This window comes from Homo sapiens, chromosome X (genome assembly GCF_000001405.40).
Source record: "Homo sapiens chromosome X, GRCh38.p14 Primary Assembly".
Taxonomy (NCBI): Eukaryota; Metazoa; Chordata; class Mammalia; order Primates; family Hominidae; genus Homo; species Homo sapiens.
Genome location: NC_000023.11, coordinates 143,585,899 through 143,606,803, shown reverse-complemented (window position 1 = coordinate 143,606,803; position 20,905 = coordinate 143,585,899). Strand labels below are relative to the sequence as shown.

Here is a 20,905-nt window from a genome sequence, read left to right as displayed (position 1 = left end):
AGATCTTGTGAAAACTCACTACCATGAGAACAACGTGGGGAAATCTGCCCCCATGATCCAATCACCTCCCACTAGATCCGTCTCCTGACATGTGGGGATTATGGAGATTACAATTCAAGATAAGATTTGGGTGCAGGCAAAGAGCCAAACCGTATCATTCCACCCCGGCCCCTCCCAAATTTCACATCCTTTTTACATTTCAAAACTAGTCGTGCCTTCCCAACAGTCCCCCAAAGTCTTAACTCGTTTCAGCATTAACTCAAAAGTCCATGGTCCAAATCTCATCTGAGACAAGGCAAGACCCTTCCACTTATGAACCTGTAAAATCAAAAATAAGTTCGCTTCTTCCAAGATACAATGGGGGTACGGTAAATACATCCATTTCAAATGGGAGAGATTGGCCAAAACACAGGGGCTACAGGCCCCATGCAAGTCCAAAACCCAGTGGGACAGTCATTAAATCTTAAAAGTCCAAAATGATCTCCTTTGACTCCACATCTCACATCCAGGGCACGCTGATGCAAGGGGTTGGCTCCCACAGCTTTTGGCAGTTCCTCCATTGGCTGACGTTTAGTGCCTGTTGCTCTTCAAAGTGCACAATGCAAGCTGTCAATGGATCTACCAATCTAGGGTGTGATGATGGTTTCCCTCTTCTCACAGCTCCACTAACCAGTGCCCCAGTGGGGACTCTGTGTGGGGGCTCCAACCCCACATTTTTCTTCCGCACTGCCCTAGCAGAGGTTCTGCATGAAGTTTCCACTTCTGCAGCAAGCTTCTTCCTGGACATCCAGACATTTCCACATATCCTCTGAAATCTAGGTGGAGGTTCCCAAACTTCAATTTTTTACTTCTGTGCACCCTCAAACCCAGCACTACATGGAACCCGCCTGGGCTTGGGGCTTGCACCCTCTGAAGCAACAGCCCAAGCTGCAACTTGGGCCCTTGTAGCACTAATGGAGCTGGAGAAGCTGGGACACATGGCACCATGTCCCAAGGCTGCACAGAGCAGGGGGACCCTTGGCCCAGCCCAGGAAACCATTTTTCCCTCCTAGGCCTCTGGGCTTATAATGGCAGGGGCTGCCATGAAGATCTCTGACATGGTGCTGAGACGTTTTCCCCATTGTCTTGGCTATTACCATGTGCTCCTCATTACTTATGCAGATTTCTTCAGCTGGCTTGAATTTCTCCCCAGAAAATGGGTTTTTCTTTTCAACTACATAGTAAGGCTGCCAATTTTCCAAACTTTTATGCTGTTCTTCTCTTTTAATTGTAAGTTCCAATTTCAAATATTCTCTTTGTGAATGCATATAACTGAACACTTTCAGAATAATCCAGGTCATGTCTTGAATACATCGCTTTTTAGAAATTTCTTCCACCAGAAACCCATAATCATCTCTCTCAAGTTTAAAGTTCCACAGATCTCTAGGGCAAGGGCAAAATGCCTCCAATCTTTTTGCTAAACTGTAGCGAGAGTGACCTTTGCTTCAGTTGCCAAGAAGTTCCTCATCTCCATCTGAGACCACCTCATCCTGGACTTCATTATCCGTATCACTCTCAGCATTTTGGTCAAAACCATTCGACAACTGTCTAGGAAGTTCCAAACTTTCCCACATCTTCCTGTCTTCCAAGCCTTCCAAAGTGTTCCAACTTCTGCCCATTACCCAGTTCCAAAGTACCTTCCACATTCTCAGGTATCTCATAGCAATGCCCCACTACCCTCAGTACCAGTTTTTTGAATTAGTCCGTTTTCACACTGCTATAAAGAACTTCCCTGAGACTGGGTAACTTATAAAGGAAAGAGGTTTAATTGACTTATAGTTCTGCATGGCTGGGGAAGCCTCAGGAATCTTACAGTCATGGTGTGAGCGGAAGCAGGAATGCCTTACATGGCAGCAGTCGAGAGAGAGTGTGTGAAGGAGGAACTGTCAAACACATAAACCCATCAGATCTCATGAGATCTCACTCACTATCATGAGAACAGCATGGGGGACACTGCCCCCATGATTCAATCAACTCCCACTAGGTCCCTCCCTCTACATGTGGGGATTATGGGGATTACAATTCCAGATGAGATTTTGGTGGGGACACAGAACCAAACCATATCAGTATGTTTACCAGTTTGCCCTAGCCTCTGGCTTCAGAAAATAGAAAGGGCATCTTTTCATGTGTTTTTTGCCTTCATTTTCTGTTTTTCCTCTTACTCTGTAAGAAAGAGTCTGTTTTTGTTTTCTTTTCTGTGCTATCTGCTCTACTGTTTGAGGAAGGAGGGTCTTGATGAGTTGTCACCTTTCTGTGAACAGAGCTTATATTTTGAGTGTGGCTTCACTTTTTATCTTAGAAATAAAGCAGCAAGCAGGGTGTTCTAATCAGTCGCACTTCGGTCTCAAATACTACGTCCATGTAAGTCAAATATTAATAGTGAAGAGAATGAGCCAACTTTCTAAATCGAGGCTGTATTTCCATCTCTATGGGGTCCAAAATAAAACTGGTTAAAAAAATGCCATCTTCACTATGAAAGACTCACTGTCTACACCATCCCTCTTCCCATGGAGTTTCTGTTGACAGAGATGGAGTCAGTCATGTCTCATGGGAAGCGGACTTGGGCAGAAGGTTCCCCTGCAAATGATGCTCGATCCCCACAAAGATGCAGCAGAGAAAGGCAGAAAACCCAGTCTTCAGTGCAAAATGGTGAGGAGGAGCCTGGCTTAGAATCTCAGCCTGAAATGACAAGTGAAAAAAAGTCTCTGAATACATTTGTTGAGGCTAGATGGTGTTACCCACCCTTGCTGTTTCACTCCTCTGAAGTGTTCTCTCTATATTTTGCTATTTTGCAAGGGAGGGGAAGAAATAATATGTATGCTTTTCTGTGTGGATTTTAAACAAGTTGCTGAATTATCAATAAAGTTTTAAAGTGCTCTATCATTTGTCATGTTATGATCAGCAATGGTTGTTCTTTTCTTCTTACTTCCTTGTGTATGTAGATTTACCTGTCACTACTGGCAGGACTGAAAATTGTTTTATAGTCATGGTCTTCTATGTGGCAGCCCAGGATAGGGGTAAACTTTTGGGGATAGAAAGAAAGAAAAATGATAATAGCATTTTTTGGCATTAAATATCATTACCCACTTTATACAGCAAAAAATGAGAAATTTCAAGGGGCAAAATTAATTTGGAAAGAAACTGACTATAAATGACTTGAATAAACAAATTCAAATGACTCATTATAATAGAATAATAGAATATTAGAAAAAAATTATCTTTTTATTAGAAGATGGAACTGGATTTCTTTTTCTCTTTTCACCTTCCTTACATCTACCCTCAACTTCTAGATAAATTCACAAATAAACACTTCAGACATTTTTCTGTGACTTAATGTGTTCAGACACTGTTGCTTGCTTGTTTGCATTTTCTTTCAGATTTTACTGTTGTACATGCTGCACGCAGTCTGGCTACATCTTGAGCTCTGTCATTTATCCAACAGAGACATCCCCTATATGGATCTAAAAGATATCATAACACTTGAAAGGTCATGTGTGGCTAATGCCTTTCTCCATCTGGTGATAGATCTTTTTCTTCCTTTTTGTTGTCTGTCCATAAGACTGCTGATAAAAAACCAAGAGTGATTAAATATACTAAATTGTCCAACTTAAGGAAATTCCAGCATATCAAAGAGCTAATAACTTCTTGGAAAATTTATATGCCTCAGCAAAATGCACAATTTTATCTGGTTTGAGAGTTTGAGCTGGAAAAAAATTTCAGCAACTTTAGAAAATCTAATCTACTGGAATACTTTACAAACGCTCTATAGCTCCGGCACCAAGGATTCTATATATGCAGTGGCACTAGTAGCCAAGTTGATTGGTTGGTTTTCTGCAGATTAAACAACTGATTGATTCAGGTAGTCCCCTTCTTGTCTACCACCTAACTCCTGTCTAATAATGATCCAAGTTTTGGCAGTTACTGAGTCCTACTATGGACTAGTTCCTGGACAAATAAGTTCATTAGCATGATCTCAATTAGACATTTTACCTAGAATTTTCGGAATGGCTTTTTCTAGAGTTTGTATCCTCATATGATGAGTATTATAATACCAAAATTTTACTTCACTTTTTATATAACTGAACAAGTAAATAAAGGACAAAGCACTATCATACCTCATGCATTACTATTAGACTGTAATGATTGTCATTGGGACTACTTGTTACAATACTCCCCATCAGGTCTCAATTGTACAGACTGGGCCTCCTGTGATATTTGTATCCTGGAAGATAACAACATCCCATTTGCTCCCAGAACAAATTATTTTTTCAATTATTATTATGAAAGTTTTGTTTTATTGTCTTAAGAACACTTAACATGAGATGTATCCCCTAAACAGATTTTTATAGCAATGGAATGAAATTTATTTTTCATTATAAACTCTATTGTACTGTTTGAATTTATTTTGCCATTTGCTTGCATTACCTGCTAGAGAGGCAGAGAGAAAGAGAAACAGAGAAAAACTATGAGTGAGTTTTCACCTAATTTTCCAACTTAACCTCCTACTGAATCTCATTTTACACATGACAACTCATTGCTTCTCAAAGACACTAAGTATATTCATATTGAGTGTGTGTTTGTGTGTGTGTGTCTAACATTCCATCATCCTTGACTCACATGTTTTCTGCCTGTAAAAATCCCATCCCTCAAAAGTTCTTCTAAAACAGATTTTTTGCATTTACATTTCACTATTCTTAAGTACAGAAACAATTCTGGACATCAGATCTCTAGAACTTATTCATGCGACAAAACTGAAACCACTTGAATAGAAACTCCCCATTTTCCTCTACCTTCAGCCCCTGACAGCTACCATTCTACTCTGCTTCTATAAATTTGACTATTTTAGATACTTCATATAAGTGGAATCATGCAGTATTAGTTTTTCTGTGACTGATTTATTTCACTTAGCATAATGTCCTCCAGGTTCATTCATGTTGTTGCATATGGCAAAATTTCCATATTTTTGAAACCAAATAATACTCCCTTGTATGTATATATTAAAATTTATTTATCCATTCATCTGTTGATAGACATTTAGGTTGTTTCTACATTTTGGCTACTGTGAATAAGGCTGCAGTGAACATGGAAGTGCAAATATCTCTTTGAAATCATGATTTTAATTCTTTTGTACAAATAAACAGAGGTGAGATTACAGGATCACATAGTGGTTCTATTTTTAATTTTTTAAAGGAATCTCCAAACTGTTTTTAATAGCAGCTGCACCATTGTGCATTACCACAACGGTGTACAAGGGTCCCAGTTCCTCACCATCCTTTCCAGCGCTTTTTGTCTTTTTCCTTTTTTCTTAATAATAGCCATCCTAACAGTTGCGAGGTGGTATCTCCTTCTGGTTTTGATTTGCATTGTTATGATTATTAGTGACATTGAGCATCTTTTAATGTACCTGTTGGTCATTTGTATGTCTTCTTTGGGGAAATGTCTATTCAAGTCTTTAGACCATATTTTAATTGGGCTATCAGTTTTAGCTGTTGTGTTATGTGAGTTTCTAATATATTTTGGATATTAACCTCTTTTCAACTATATGGTTTGCAAATATTTTTCCCATTCATAGGTTGCCTCTTCAACTATATTGTTTCCTTTGCTTTGTAGCAGGTTTTTGGTGTGATGTAGTCCTACTTGTCCATTTTTTCTTTTGTTGCCTGTGCTTTTAATGTCATGTCTCTTAAATCATTGCCGAGACTACTGTCACAAAGCTTTCCCTCATGTCGTCTTCTGGGAGTTTACAGTTTCAAGTCTTGGATTTAAGTCTTTAGTCCATTTTGAGTTTTTTTGTGTGTGTATGGTGTAAGATAAGGGTCTGATTTCATTCTTTTGCATGTGGATATCCAGTTTTTCCAACACCATTTTTTAAAGAGATTATCCTTTCCCTATAATTTATTATTTGTACCTTTATCAAAAATCAGTTGACTTCTCTCTTGACTGGAGCAGTGAAACAAACGAACATAAATAAGTTGACTATATATGTGGGGGTTTATTTCCAGACTTTCTATTTTGCTCCATTGGTCTTGTATATCTGTCTTTATTATGCCAGCACCATATTGTTTTGATTACAGCAGCTTTGTAATATATTTGCAAATCAGAAAGTGTGATGCTTTCAGCTTTTTTCTGCTTTCTCAAGACTGTTTTGGCTATTCAGATTTCTTTGCATATGTGCATGAATTTTAGAATTGTTTTTTTTTCTATTTCTGTAAATATTGCCATTGGGATTTTCATAGGGATTAAATTGAATCTGTAGATCACTTTAGGTAGTATGGTCAATTTGACAATATTAAGTCTTCTAAACCGTGAACACAGAATATTTTCCCTTTTGATTGTGTCTTCTTTAATTTCATTCACCAATGTTTTGTAGTGTTCAGTGTACAAGTCTTTTTACTTCTTTAGTTTATTCCTAAGTATCGTATTCTTAAGTATCTTATTTTTTGACACTATAGTAAATAGAGTTGTCTTCCTAATTTTCTTTTCAGATTATTTGCTTTTAATATATAAGAACAGAACTTTTTTTTGTTCATTGTGTATCCTGCAACTTCACTGAGATTTTAAGTCAGTATTAAGAGATTTGGGGTGGGGTCTTTAGGATTTCTATGTATAAGAACACGTCATCTGCAAACAGAGATAATTTCACTTCTTCCTTTCTGATTTGGATGCATTTTTTTTCTCTTACCTAATTGCTCTAGCTAGGACTTCTACTACTATTTTCTTAGTCCATTTCATATTGCTATACCAGAATATCACAGATTGGGTAATTTACAAAGAACAAAAGTTTATTTGGCTCACAGTTCTGGAGGCTGTGAAGACATCAGGTAAGGAACTTCATTCCACATTATCCCATGGCAGAAGATATTAAGGCAAGAGAGGGTGAGAGGGAGAGCAAGAATTAAAGGGAGTGGAATTTATCCTGTTTATCAGGAAACTACTCCCAAGTTAACTAACCAGTTCCTGTAATAGTACCATTAATCTATTCACAGGGCAGAGCCTTCATGACCCAGTCATCTCTTAAAAGTCCCACTTCTTAACACTGTTGCATTGGGGATAAAGTTTCCAACACATGAACTTTAGAGAAACACATTTAAACCATAGGGACTATGTTGAATAGAAGTGGCAAGAGTGGGCATCTTTGTCTTGTTACTGATCTTAGAGAAAAGCTTTTAGTTTTTCATCATCGATAATGAAGTGACCTGTGGGCTTGTCGTATATGACCTTTTTTGTGTTCAGGTACGTTCCTTCTTATACCTAATTTGTTGAGAGTTTTATCATAAAGGGATGTAGAATTTTGTCAGATGCTTTTCTTGCATTTATTGAAATGACCCTATGGTTTTCATATTTCATTGTGTTAATGTGGTATATCACATTTATAGATTTGCATATATTGACCCCTTCTTGAATACCAGGAGTTAATTCCTCTTGGTCATGGTGTATAATTCTTTTACTGTGCTGTTGAATTTTTTCTGCTAATGTTATAATGGAATTTTAAACATAGTATTTCTTTAATTAAAATATGTTATTGTTATAAAAAAATAAAATAATAACAGTGAAACTGAAGTCTTTCTCTTATCTGTGACAAGAAGAGTCCCTGAGGGTCAAAGACAAGTGGGATAAGAAAGCTGAAAGAAAACTCAAACAGATAAGGGTGATGGTTCTTACTCAACAATTAATTATCTCCTTGAACTCAGTGTGTCCCTTCATTTCTCCAGGCCTCAGTCCCCTGAATGTGGGTATTATTTTATTTTATTCTTCCCTTAAAAAGCTAGATGCCTTTGTAGTTATTATTTGGTCAAAAGTAATACAGGTGAGAAATAAAGACAAAACAAAACAAACAAAAACAAAGATATATCACCCATATTAAGTCTTCCTCTCACCCACAGTCTTATCCCTGCTCCCTACTGACAACCACTGCTCTCGGTTTCTTGGATATCTTTCCAGGACTTTTGTAGTCATATCCAGGCATTTGTACATATTTTCATTTGTGTTTTAATCAAAAGGAAGAATACAGAAGGCTCTATTTAAGAAGAGGAAGCAAAGCATAGTAGTTAATATAGTGCAGTCTTGGAAGCCAGACTCCCCGGGGTTATATCTCCTAGTTCTTTTGCTGTTTGAATTTGGCCTTGTCACTGAAACTTTTATCTCAAATTCCTCATATGTGATATGGGGGTGATAATACAGCCTGCCTCATAAGTATTGATATAAAGAGTAAGGGAATTAATAAATAATTAATAGCACATTCACTCAGTAAGTGATCATTAAATATGAATTAATCTACACCTTCTTTATTTCTTTTTATGTAAGGTATATCTACCTCGGTTCTTTGTAATGGCTTTATATTTTTACAGGGTAGCATAATTTATATAACCAGTCTCCTACTGAAAAACACTGAAGCTTTCAGTCTTTTGTTATTAGAAGCATTACTGTAAAGAAAATCCTTTCCCAAACTGCATTTGCCCACACTTATGAACATATTGATATAATAATTTTTGACAAGCAGAATTCCTGTGTTAAAAGGACTATGTACTCAAATATCGATCAGTACTGCCAAATTTACCTCCAATAAGTTATACCATTTTATTCTTCCATTAGCGTTATATGGGAGTCCCAGTTTACCCACACCCACACAAACTTTATATTCCAATAATTTTGTTTTATATGTTTACCATTTCAATGTGTAAAAAAAAATATCTCCTTGCTATATTAACTTTTATATTTTAAACTATAATTAAAGCTAATAATCTTTTCCTGGGGGTACCAGCTATTTTAACTACCTATTTATGTTATTTGACAATTTTGTGATTTTAAAAATAAATGATCATTTCAAAACTATTTAAACTAATCCCATTGTTTGGAAGCCTTCAGAATTTTGACTCAAAGATAATAAAAAACAAATAACAAAACAAAATAATAGGAAAAAAAACCTCACCTGCAATACCCATTTCATGGAGAAGAAAACCAATTCTCAAAGAATGTAAACACCTCATAAGGTTAGAGCTAACTAGTGACAGAGCTTGCATTTTAAAACTCCCTTGCTTTTGTTCTGTTTTGTTTTCTTTTATGGGAGCAGCTGCACTGCTTTTTGGACAACATGTTCTAGCTTGGCTTTGCTAATATATAGATATCACCATAATCACCTCTCTACCACCCTTTATTTCACTGTATAGCAGCCATATGTTTTAGATGTGGAATGGCCTATTAACTTGGCTTTCGTGTAAAAGTGTAGAGTGCTAATGAGTCAGTAATCTTACCAGCAGTTTCTATTTACTAAAGTCGCCACTGACTATTTCCTCTTGGGAAATAGTCACCATTTCCCAAGGAATGTCTTTTCACATAGCATACAAGTTCTTATAATAGTGTCTTCAACATCTATGGCTAACTCCACAAAGTTTATTTTGCTTTAGTGCTTCTTCATTTGTCATGTCTTCTTGAGAGATTAGTGTCCTTACATTGTATTGTATTATTTATTGTTCCAAAATAACATACTAGGGAATAATAGGGTCAATAGATTTGTTTTTATTAAAATGAAACTTGTCAGAATGTGAATTTCAGACCAACATGGATTTGTATAAGTCAGACATGAATCTGGCGGGATAGCACTGGGGAAAGGGGGAAGTTTGTATATGGGGGTGGGCTGCAATGTGGTGAGTGCAAGACAGGATTTCCTTCATTCTTTATTGAAAATAAGCATTTTGCATTCTCATCTGTGAATGAAACGAATACTGCCATTATTTGAGTGTTACCTTTCTGGGCACTGTGCTAAGCTTTTCACATGTATTATCTTACTTCTCAATACTCCTTGTAAGAAGAGTGTTATTATATTAATTTTGTATATATAGAAAGAATGATGTTCAGGAAGCCTAAATAATGTCTAAGGTAATATAGTTAATAGCTGGTAGAGCCAAGATTCAAACCTAGGACTTCTGACAGTGAATTTCACATGCATTTCACTCTGTTGTGTTGCCTCTATGTATAAATTATATGATCTGAACTAAGGTGATACAAGAGACAGAACAAGATATGCTGATGCATATATGAACAGAGGTGGCAAAAATGGAATTATTAGCCTCCAACTCTAGTAAGTTCTTGCCAGAAAACTGGATAAGGTATTCATACATCAGATGAACAATGCCCAAGATCATTGTTTCCCAAAATTATTCCAGAGAACACTAATTGTTTAGGCTAATGGGTGATATTTTTGAAGGGTTCTGTGCTCTAATAATTTTTTTAGGTAGATCCATTTATTTTTTAAATACAAGTATACTTCTGGAAGGGCTATTTGACAAATTCAGCATTGACTGCCAACTTTATAGACATTTTTAACAACAACAAAAAACAAGGCATTTACTCTTGGCCCTTTTAGTACAGGCCAAGGGTCCTATTGCATCACAAGTGCTAGGGATGCAGTAACAGACCCAAGGGCATAATATTAAAGATTTTTTTTCCAACTGCGATTCAGTTGAAAAATAATATAGTACAAACATATATTAATGGTAATCGAGACCACTAGCGATCTGCAGAATACCTAGAAGCCTACCTACTTAGAAGGCTGAAACTGGTAAAAGCATATTAAAATCATAATTTTTAAAAGTGTTAATTTTAGTAAAATTAAACTGGTTTATCTATGTAGGACTTCTCAAAGTAGTCATTGTGCAAATGTGCAGGTTAATACACCAAGATATATGATATAATATTCCACGTTTCCCAATCTAATTTAACTTAGTAATTCCATTTTTAAGAGTCTTGTGTGGCAGGGAAATGGGTCCTAGCCTGGGTCCTTGGGAAAGCTTGGAGTCCTGGCCCACGAACTTGATCCCTGCCCAGGTGTTTTCCGGGGGGGGGGCACTTGAGGCCCAATCTTTGCTCGAGGCAGGTGTAAGACACCTCAGAGGGAGAACGGCACTGCCTCCTCTTTCCCACCTGCCTCTCATCTCAATCCTTGACTGGCGAGTTTAAAGTTGTTCTGCAACCATGCAAACCTGTCCTTCTCATGCAACTCCAAGGAGCTTGCTGGCTCTGCAGCCACCCTTGGGCCCCCGCCAGCCTGCCATGAATCAGATCTCTTTCCCAGAATCTGGGCCTTTCTGAAGTTTTGGGGAGAGCCGTTGGGACTCATCCCGTGCTCCAGAAGGTGGACTTGCTTCTCGTGGGTTTTAAAGGAGACTCCAGGAGATATGCTTAACCAACCATGATGGATTTTGCCCCAACTGGACTCGGCAGCTTCACGTGGAATCCAGGTGCAGCCTCCAGTCTGGGAAAGTCACCCAACCTAGCAGTTGTCATGTGGGTAACCTCAAGCACCTCTAAGCCTGACCTGGAAGAATGACCAGCAGCCCCTCCAGAACTCTGCTCAGGACAGCAGGAGCCTCCTGGCTCTGGGTTTGGAAGCTGGGGTGGGTAGCGGGTGGTAAGTACTATATGTGGCTCTGGAAAAACAGCCGCTACTTCCAAATCTATTGTCCATAATGGTTTCTTTCTGAGGTTGTTTCTTGGCCTCAAAGGGCCCCAGGGGATGTTTGGAAATAGCCTTTCTACCCTTCTGGAGCATGGTTTACAAAAGCCAGCTGACTTCTGGAACTGTCTGTGGAGGATAGTTTGGGTGTAGGTTACTGATGTCTCACCTGAGTTTTATAAGCTGCTGTTGGGTAGTATGCTGGGAGGAATCTTCTTTTTTATATATTGTATTTTTGTATGCCTTTCAGGAAGTGGTGTTAACTGCTTTTGTACAAGAAAAAACTCATGGGCAATTCTCCTGTTGCAAGGGTCTGATTTATTTTGACAGGCAAGTTCACCTGAAATTTTGTATTTAGCTGTGATTACTGATTGCCTGATTTTAAAATATTGCCTTCTGGGACATCTTCTAATAAAAGATTTCTCAAACAAACAAACAAAAAAACAAAAAGAGTCTTGTGTGCCATAGATCATACTGTGGGAAATGCTGACTAATTGGAATCTCAAGTCCCTTCTAACACTGAACACTTACAATTCCATGATTCTGTTACAGGCCATGAAGATATAGGAGAATACAGATATATACATATATATATATATATGTATATATATCTCCTGTGTTCTTGGATTAATCTGTGATTGGTCCACTGTGTAAGTGCCTAATTAACCTCAGTGTGATATTTTCTATAAAATGTCTTGGCAAGATTGTTGATAGGTCCAAGCATTCAATAGAAGATTGAACTGGACCTAGCTGCACATTTGACCCATCTAAAGTGTTTGTTGTAAGTGCAGATTTCTGAGACAAATTCCCAGGATTTCTGATTCTATAATTTGAGGGAAAGCTCTAGAAACAATTTTTAATGGTCATTCCAGGGGTTCTGCACCATATTTGGTCCATATGTCAATATTTGGAACAAGTCTAAGATATAAAGTCAAGAAAGCCTATGAGGATGCTACAGAGTTCTTCTCAATCCTGTCCATGCACCAGTTCCTGGAGCTCTACCCAAGACCTTGGAAACTTGACCCAGTAGATCCAATGGTGCTGGGAGTGGGACCTGTGGATGTCTCCTTAAGAAAAAAAAATCTACAAGTGAATCTTATGTTGCTGGGTCACAGATATATAATTAGGACCACTGGCTTAAATGACTTCCAATTTCTTCCTTCCAACCATATATTTTTCTACATTCTGAGTATAATATGACTTCCCTAAATGTACTTAGTGTGATGGTTAATACTGAATGTCAACTCGATTGGATAGAAGGATACAAAGTATTGATCCTATGTGTGTCTGTGAGGTTGTTGCCAAAGGAGATTAACATTTGAGTCAGTGGGCTGGGAAAGGCAGACCCATCCTTAACCTGAGTGGGCACAATATAATCAGCTGCCAGTGTGGCTAGAATATAAATGGGCAGAAAAATGTGAAAAGAGAGACTGGACTAGCCTTCCAGCCTACATCTTTCTCCCGTGCTGGATGCTTCCGGCCCTCGAACATTGGACTCCAAGTTCTTCCGTTTTGGAACTTGGGCTGGCTCTCCTTGCTCCTTAGCCTGCAGATGGCCTATGGTGGGACCTTGTGATCATGTAAGTTAATACTTAATAAAGTCATATATATATATTCCATTAATTCTGTCCCTCTAGAGAACCTAATACACTTATTATGTGAAGAGAAACATGACGTGAGGCTGTTTGTTTATAGTCCCAACTGTAACCTATGCTGATGAGGCTAGAATTGAGAGCCTGTGCTCAGATATGATTATCACTCTAAAAAGAAGCAGCGACAAACCCGAATAAAGGTCAGAGGGGAGGGACGAAAATGATAAGGGTATTCAAACACATGGCATATGAGGAATCATTGAAGGAACTGGGGTGTTTAGCTTGGAGAAGAGAAGAATTGTGTGCAGATAGGAATATTATCTTTAAATATTCAAAAGGTTGTCCTGTTGAGGACCTATTAGGCTGGCTGTTTAGGATGCTATAAAAAAGAAGACACCTCTAACAGACAGAGGGGAAAGTGTTATGCTTGAGCACCTGTTAGGCCAGGGATAGTTCTGGATATTTTAAGCATGTTATTTTATTTAACAGTCATGCAAAATATGCAAAAGAGGTATAGCTGACCCATTTTAGAAATTAGGAAATAGGCCCAGAAATGGTAAATTATTCCATGTTCCTATGAATATATGGATAATATGGTAGTCATTAAAGCTACTCACAAATATTCCATTTCCTCTTCTTCCAGAAACATGGTAGGATTGTACTTCCCAACCTTGTTTGAAGCTAAGGGTAGGCTTGTGGAATTCTGTAAAGCCATTACATGATTCACCGTATTCCCTTCCCTCTGCAGTGGTGATAATAAAACCATATGCCAAGATAAAGCAGAGGTTCCCGGCCAATATGGATTGGACATATAGCAAAAGTGAGAAACAAACTTTTTTCTCTTGTCATGAAAATCCAAGAGAAGCCTGCTAACTATATGCATTCTTAGTCTATGTTCTTGGTCTAAGTCATAGGTTGTATACATTTCTGTTTGTCACTGGGAATTTGGAGTTATTTGTTACTGTAGGATAATTCAGCCCTCCTGGCTGATAATGGCAGAAGTAGAAGAGTCAGAGTTAAACCTAGCTTATTCTGCTTCCCAAATCTGTGCTCTTCCCATTGTAATACAAGACCTCACAGATAACCAGTGTTAAGCTCTATAGCAATGAAAGAGAGTATTACAGTTCATTCATGCAAATATTTGATAAAAACTTGTTGGGACTGATAAATCTAATGGCTGAATTGTAACCACCCAGTGAGTTTACCTAGCCGACTGCCTAGACAGAGCTGATTTATCAAGACAAGGGAATTACAATAGAGGAAGTTTAATTCACATAGAGCTGGCTACACGGGAGACTGGAGTTTTATTGTTGCTCAAATCAGTCTCCCTAAGAATTCAGGGATCAGAGTTTTTAAGAATATTTTGGTGGGTGTGGAGGCCAGTGAGTTTGGAGTGTTGATTGGTTGGGTGGCAGTTGAAATCATAGGGAGTTGAAGCTGTCCTCATACACTGAGTCCCTTCATGGGTGGAAGCCACAAGACTAGACAAGCCAGTTTGTCCATCTGGGTGGTGCCAGCTGACCCATCAGGTGCAGGGTCTGCAACATATCTAAAGCACTGATCTCGTTGCAGTACATAGCTAGTCAGACATGAGCACAGCAGGAGAGTGACGCCCCACCCCCATCAAGAAAGTCAGGCAACCATTAGGGTATGGTCAAGCAGTTGTTAAACCATCTCTCTAAAATAATATTTGGTCACAGCCAGTGACAGAGAAAGGCAGTCCTCCAATAGATAGAAAACATCTGAAACTTATAATCAGCAGCTTCCCAGTAGGATCTCAGGAGTTGGGCCAGTGGGCTTAAGCTTGCGCATTAAGAGGCAAAATGGCAGAGTTTAACTGGTATATGACCTTCTAGGGACATTGGACTGGTAAGAGAAGAAAACCTCTAGTGGGCACGTGTACAACTCCAGTAAACACACTGTGCATGCAGCCATTTCCAAGTGCTGGCAGGCCACTGAGCATGCAGACAGCCCACTCCAAGAGAAGAATCAGGGGAGAAGGGATGCAGGACCCTGGAAGTACACCAACATATAAAACCCTAAGTCAAAGGTCAAACATGGCACTTGATCTCTCAGGTCACCTGCCTGGCCCTCTTGCAAGTATACTTTACTTCCTTTCATTCCTGATCTAAAGCTTTTTAATACGCTTTCACTCCTGCTCTAAAATTTACCTCGGTCTCTCCTTCTACCTTATGCCTCTCAGTTGAATTCTTTCTTCTGAGAAGGCAAGAATTGAGGTTGCTGCAGACATGTACAAATTCACCATCAGTAACATACCTTAGTGCAAGTTTTAAAGCAGGGGTGAAAATTTATTAAAAAGCTGTAAAGCAGAAATGAAAGGAAGTAGAGTACACTTGGAAGAGGGCCAAATAGGTGACTTAAGAGATCAAGTGCACGCCTTGACTTTTGACTTGGGGTTTTATTAGTTGGGATTCTTCTGGCATCTGAATTTTCTCTCCCCTGATTCTTCCCTTGGGATGGGCTGCCTGCATGCACAGTGGCCTGCTAGCACTTGGGAGTGGCCCCATGTACAGTGTGTTTAATGGAGTTGTATACATGCTTACTTGAGGCATTCTTCCCTTACCAGTCAAATGTCCCTAGAAAGTCATACACCAGTTAAACTGGCATTTTGCCTCTTAATGAGCATGCTTGAGCCAACTCGCCCAGCTCCTGAGATCTTATTAGGAAGCTGCTGATCACCAGCTTCAGGTTTTTTCTATGTATTGGGGGACCACCTTTCCCTGGCACTGGCTGGGACTATCAACTGCCTGACCATCACTTGATGGTCCCCTGACACTCCTGTTTTGGTGGGGCTCTCCTGCACTGCTCATGTCTGACTAGCTACCTACTGTAACAATCTTAGGGTTTACCAATAGTGAGGTTATCCCCAGGAACAATTTGGTGAGGGTCAGAATATTGTAGCTTCCAGCTGCGTGACACCTAAACCATGGTTTCTAATCTTGTGGCTAATTTGTTAGTCTTACAAAGGCATCCTAGTCCCTAGGCAAGTAGGGGGCTTGTTTTGGAAAAGGGATATTATTGTCTTTGTTTCAAAGTTAAACTATAAACTAAGTTCCTTCCAAAGTTAGTTTGGCCTACACCCAGGAATGAACAATGACAGCTTGGAGGTTAGAAGCAAGATAGAGTCAGTTAGGTCATATCTCTTTCACTGTAATAATTTTCTCTGTTGTAATTTTCAATGGCAGTTTCAGAATGGTCTCTTCCAACTCTAATATTCTATGATTTCCTGATTCTGTGACAGGTTGTAGAACCCAAATACAAAATCTGTGTGTGTGTGTGTGTGTGTGTGTGTGTGTGTGTGTGTGTGTGTGTAGTCACCCTTTTTCTGTTTTTTAGGCCTAAGGCATATTCACTTTATGTGGACCTTTCCCAGCCCCATCTCAATTGGTCTTTTTAGGAAAAGAGAAGTTCTGCTTTTTTTTTTTTTTTTTTTCCTAACAGCCATGAAATTTGGCACCAAGTCACAATGACCTTTTATTCCTAATGACTTCCCTGAGGCGGGGGGCGGGGGGGAAAGCATTTGCATTTCAGCTCATTCTTTCCTGGAGCATAATACATTCTTAGATTTATTTATAATTTTGAGGGTTTGCCTCTCCCTGCTGGTTCTCAAAGTTTAATGCTATCCCAAAATATGTTTATCCATTTCATGTCACAATGGGGACATGGGGATGATTTCCGGTTTGAGACCTTCCCATCACTATAATCATTTTCATGTCATCTTTGAAGCAGATATGCTCTTAGGGGTGACCTCATTAGAGCCAAAATATGATGGCAATGAAGAAACATATTTATCACATTCTTATCCTCTTATACTTTAAATACTCTTACTTCTTATATTGGCTCTTACTTATGTAACTCATCCAATTGCAGAGACACTTGAAAAGACTGTATTTCAACACACTTTACAAAAAACAGAAGCCACAAAATTATAACATACATTATTGGCGGCATCCTTGAAGATGACTTTCAGTGCATAGGACAGGGAATGTCTACAAAGACTTACCCCTACGTCTTTGGAACAAAATCTGAAAATATCTCTCTAAAACTGAACGAATTCTTCTTGGGCAATATGAGACATCTTCAAAATAAACTACCATGATGAATGGCATGAAAATCTGGTATTACTGAGGAAAGCCTACACCCTACATCTCTACCATGAAGATCAGAGTATTTCTTTATTGAATACACAAATCAGAGTGCCTTTCAATCTAATTAATGTCACCAGAGTATGTGTGAGCTTAGGAATGTAGATATACAGTTAGCCAAAGTATGTTTGGTGCTCTTGCTGGTAAGGCAGTCTGAGAAAAACAAGTCCCATGGCCAAGTTGCTAAAACATACCTCCCACTCAAAACTTCAAAAGGCATATTAGCATATCAAATGTAATAAAAAGACCCATAGAAAAGACACCTCTTTAGCTTTGTTCAACCCAGCTTTAGCCAAATGTATTTGCTAATAAACCCTTTAAAAAATAATGCTCATCGAAACAGACCAAGAAACATATTTTGGCAAATACCAAATTAAGGAAAAAGCAAGCCATAAATAAATTGTCTTTCATAAGTGTAAAAAGAGTAATAAATAGGCTTGGCATGAAAATTCTGCTTCACACTTGAATTATCTTTAAGAGCTTATTGATTTTTTCCTGTGAGCCTCAATATCCTCTTCTATAAAATGGAAATCAAAATGCTGAGTGACGTAACGAGAGGTAAAGCCAGCTGGGCTCCTGGGTTGAGTGGGGACTTGGAGAACTTTTCTGTCTAGCTAGAGGATTGTAAATGCACCAATCAGCGCTCTGTGCCTAGCTAGAGGATTGTAAATGCACCAATCAACATTCTGTAAAAATGGACCAATCAGCACTCTGTAAAATGGACCAGTCAGCAGGACATGGGCGGGGCCAAATAAGGGAATAAAAGCTGGCCACCCACGCCAGCAGCAGCAACCCGATTGGGTCCCCTTTCACGTTATGGGAGCTTTGTTCTTTCGCTCTTCATCATAAATCTTGCTGCTGCTCACTCTTTGGGTCTGCGCCACCTTTAAGAGCTGTAACACTCACCACCGGGGTCTGCGGCTTCATTCCTGAAGTCAGCAAGACAACGAACCCACTGGGAGGAACGAATAACTCTGGATGTGCCACTTTTAAGAGCTGTAACACTCACTATGAGGTCCGTGGCTTCATTCTTAAAGTCAGCGAGACCAAGAACCCACCAGAAGGAAGAAACTCCAGACACGGTAAGTTATTCAGACTTAGGAGGGCAGTAGCACATAGTGGTTAAGCCCAAAGATTCTGGTGCCACACCTACTGGGTGTGAAATCTGGCTTCACCTCTGCTTACTTATGTGATGTTAGGCAAGTTATTGCAGCTTACTTTTACTTTGTTTTTTTCACATTTAAAATGGAAAAAAATAGTACCTGCCATCAAAGAAAATGACCAAGGCAAGTCTCAATCATTTTAGGAGGTTTATTTGCCAAGGTTAAGGACATGCACCTGGGAGACAGTTCTATGCCTTTCTCCAACGATGCTTTTGAGGGTTTCAGTATTTAAAGGGGAAAGGCTGAGATATTGAGAAATACACAATTTTAATTTGAGAGGGTGGTATAGGAAAATAATCTTACATGCCATTGTCTGGCTCAGAGTATCCATAATTGTACATAATGTAGAAAGTAGAAAAGTTCCTCTTCAAAGCTCATCTTGGTTTAAAAATAAAATAACAGACACTAGAAATAATAGCTTCTTACTCTAAAGCCTCCTATCAACTATTAGTTCTTACACTTTAGCCCAGTTAGTGGCTTTGGCTTACTCAGGTATGTCTGGACAGGCCCAGGCAAGTCTTAGCTCATAGCTTATGCCCCTTTCTTATTTGGAAATGTTATTGCTTCCTTGAACCTTTCATAAGCAACTTCCTCTCCTTCTTTGTTCTTCCTTGCACTTACCTATTTAGGAAAGTTTTAGGTTATTAGCAAATTGGTTATTAGTTTAAGACTGTGAGGTCCAGCTCTAGCCAATGGATGCAGGACACAGCAGTAAGGACGACCCAAATGCATAAAGGATAAATATGTCTGCTTTTCCTTTGTTCAAGTGTGCTCTCGCCATTGTTCCATCTGTGTGTAGCACCCTTTCTGCAGAAAGTAAAGATGGCCTTGCTGAGATAATTAAATTTATATTCAAGTGCTATTTCTTTGTGGCACTGGGGAACAAGCATTTCTAACACATAAGATAATGTAGACAATACGGCAAAGGAAACAATCAGATATGTATTTGTCTCAGGTAGGCAGAGTCATAACTTTGAGTTCTGTCCTGTTTCTCAACAGCTGTGAAGATAAGCTATCATTCTGTTAAAGTTTACATTGCCATGGTAAACTTTAACAGAAACACACTTTAGGGTAAAGATGTTGGGGCCCACAACAAATTTCCCTGTGGGAAAAAATATAAGGGAGGTATGTCGCCTTTCATCTTTGTAGCCATCTTATTTAGGAACAAAAATGGGAGGCAGGTTTGCATGACCCAGATTCCAGCTTGAATCTTCCCTTTGGCTTAGTGAGTTTGGGGTCCCAGATTTATTTTCCTTTCACACTGCCAAAGAGGTTTTCTCTGAATATTAAATAGTATTAAAGTACTTTGAGTGAGCATTCCACTCAACATAAGCTGAGGACTAAGCTCTGATTCTTTTTTTTTATTTCTATCTTTTTTATCTTGCCCAAATTCCTATCTAAGGGGTCTGGGGAGTCATACCCTACCAATGATTAACTATCATCAGATGGGTTTTATTTAACCCTATATATCATGACTTACTTTCCAATCTGACTCTGGCATAACATTATTTGACAAAGAAGAAAATCAAAATATTTTACCCAAAACATGTTTCTTTGCCGTGTTTTGAAATGGGCCTGCAAGACCATCCATTGTGGGGGAAAATTTGCATCTGTAAAAATTCTCTATTGATATAGCTAGATCTTTTTCTTCCAGGCTCTCCCAATCCTGAAGACATTAATTGAGAGTTTAGCACCTTTTAAAGGTCTGAATAGAAAAAACATTTGTCATCTATTGTCTCTAAGGGCAACCACTATGAGACTTCAAAAGAACCTTGGTCTCCACAATCTTTTATCTTAACCTGAACATTTCCTTTCCATTAATTCCAGACAAACTCAACCATTTATAAACCAGAAAATGTTTAAATTTACCTATTGCCTGGAACCCCCTCCCCACCACTCCGCTCGAATTGTCCCACCTTTCTGGACCAAACCCATGTATTTTTCAAATGTATTTGATTGATGTCTCAGAATCACTTTAGGGAATGATGTTTCATGCCTCCCTAAAATGTGTAAAACCAAGCTGCACCCCAATTCCTTTGAGCAGATATTCTTGGGACCTCCTGTGGGCTGTGTCACAGGCCATGGTCACTCATATTTGGCCTAGGATAAATCTCTTCAAATATTTTACAGAGTTTGACTCCTGTTGTTGACAAGCTATTGTTTTAGCTTTACCAAATACCTGGGTCATTGTAATTGCTCATGTATTGTAGTCAAACCTCAGTCAAAGAGAAACATGTTGATAGAAGGGAAGGAGTCTGTAAGAAATTTAGGGGAAAATGTAGAGAGAAAACCCAAGAGAAGAATAGTTCATATTTATTCAGCAGCCCGGTATATGGCTGCTTTGATCACTGCCCACAGAGATTTTCTTACCCTTGACAGGCTAGCTCGTAGGGCATCAGTCTGTCTCAGTTGAAGGACACTGTTAAAATTCTCAGTTTTTTACCTCCTGGCCAGCTTCACCCTTATCAAACGCTCCTCTATAAAACACCCCAA

The 20,905-nt window shown here is 38.9% G+C and overlaps 1 pseudogene; it reads left to right on the top strand.

Annotated features, from left to right (window-relative positions):
- On the top strand, positions 10,791-11,921 carry MYCLP3 (MYCL pseudogene 3; annotated as a pseudogene).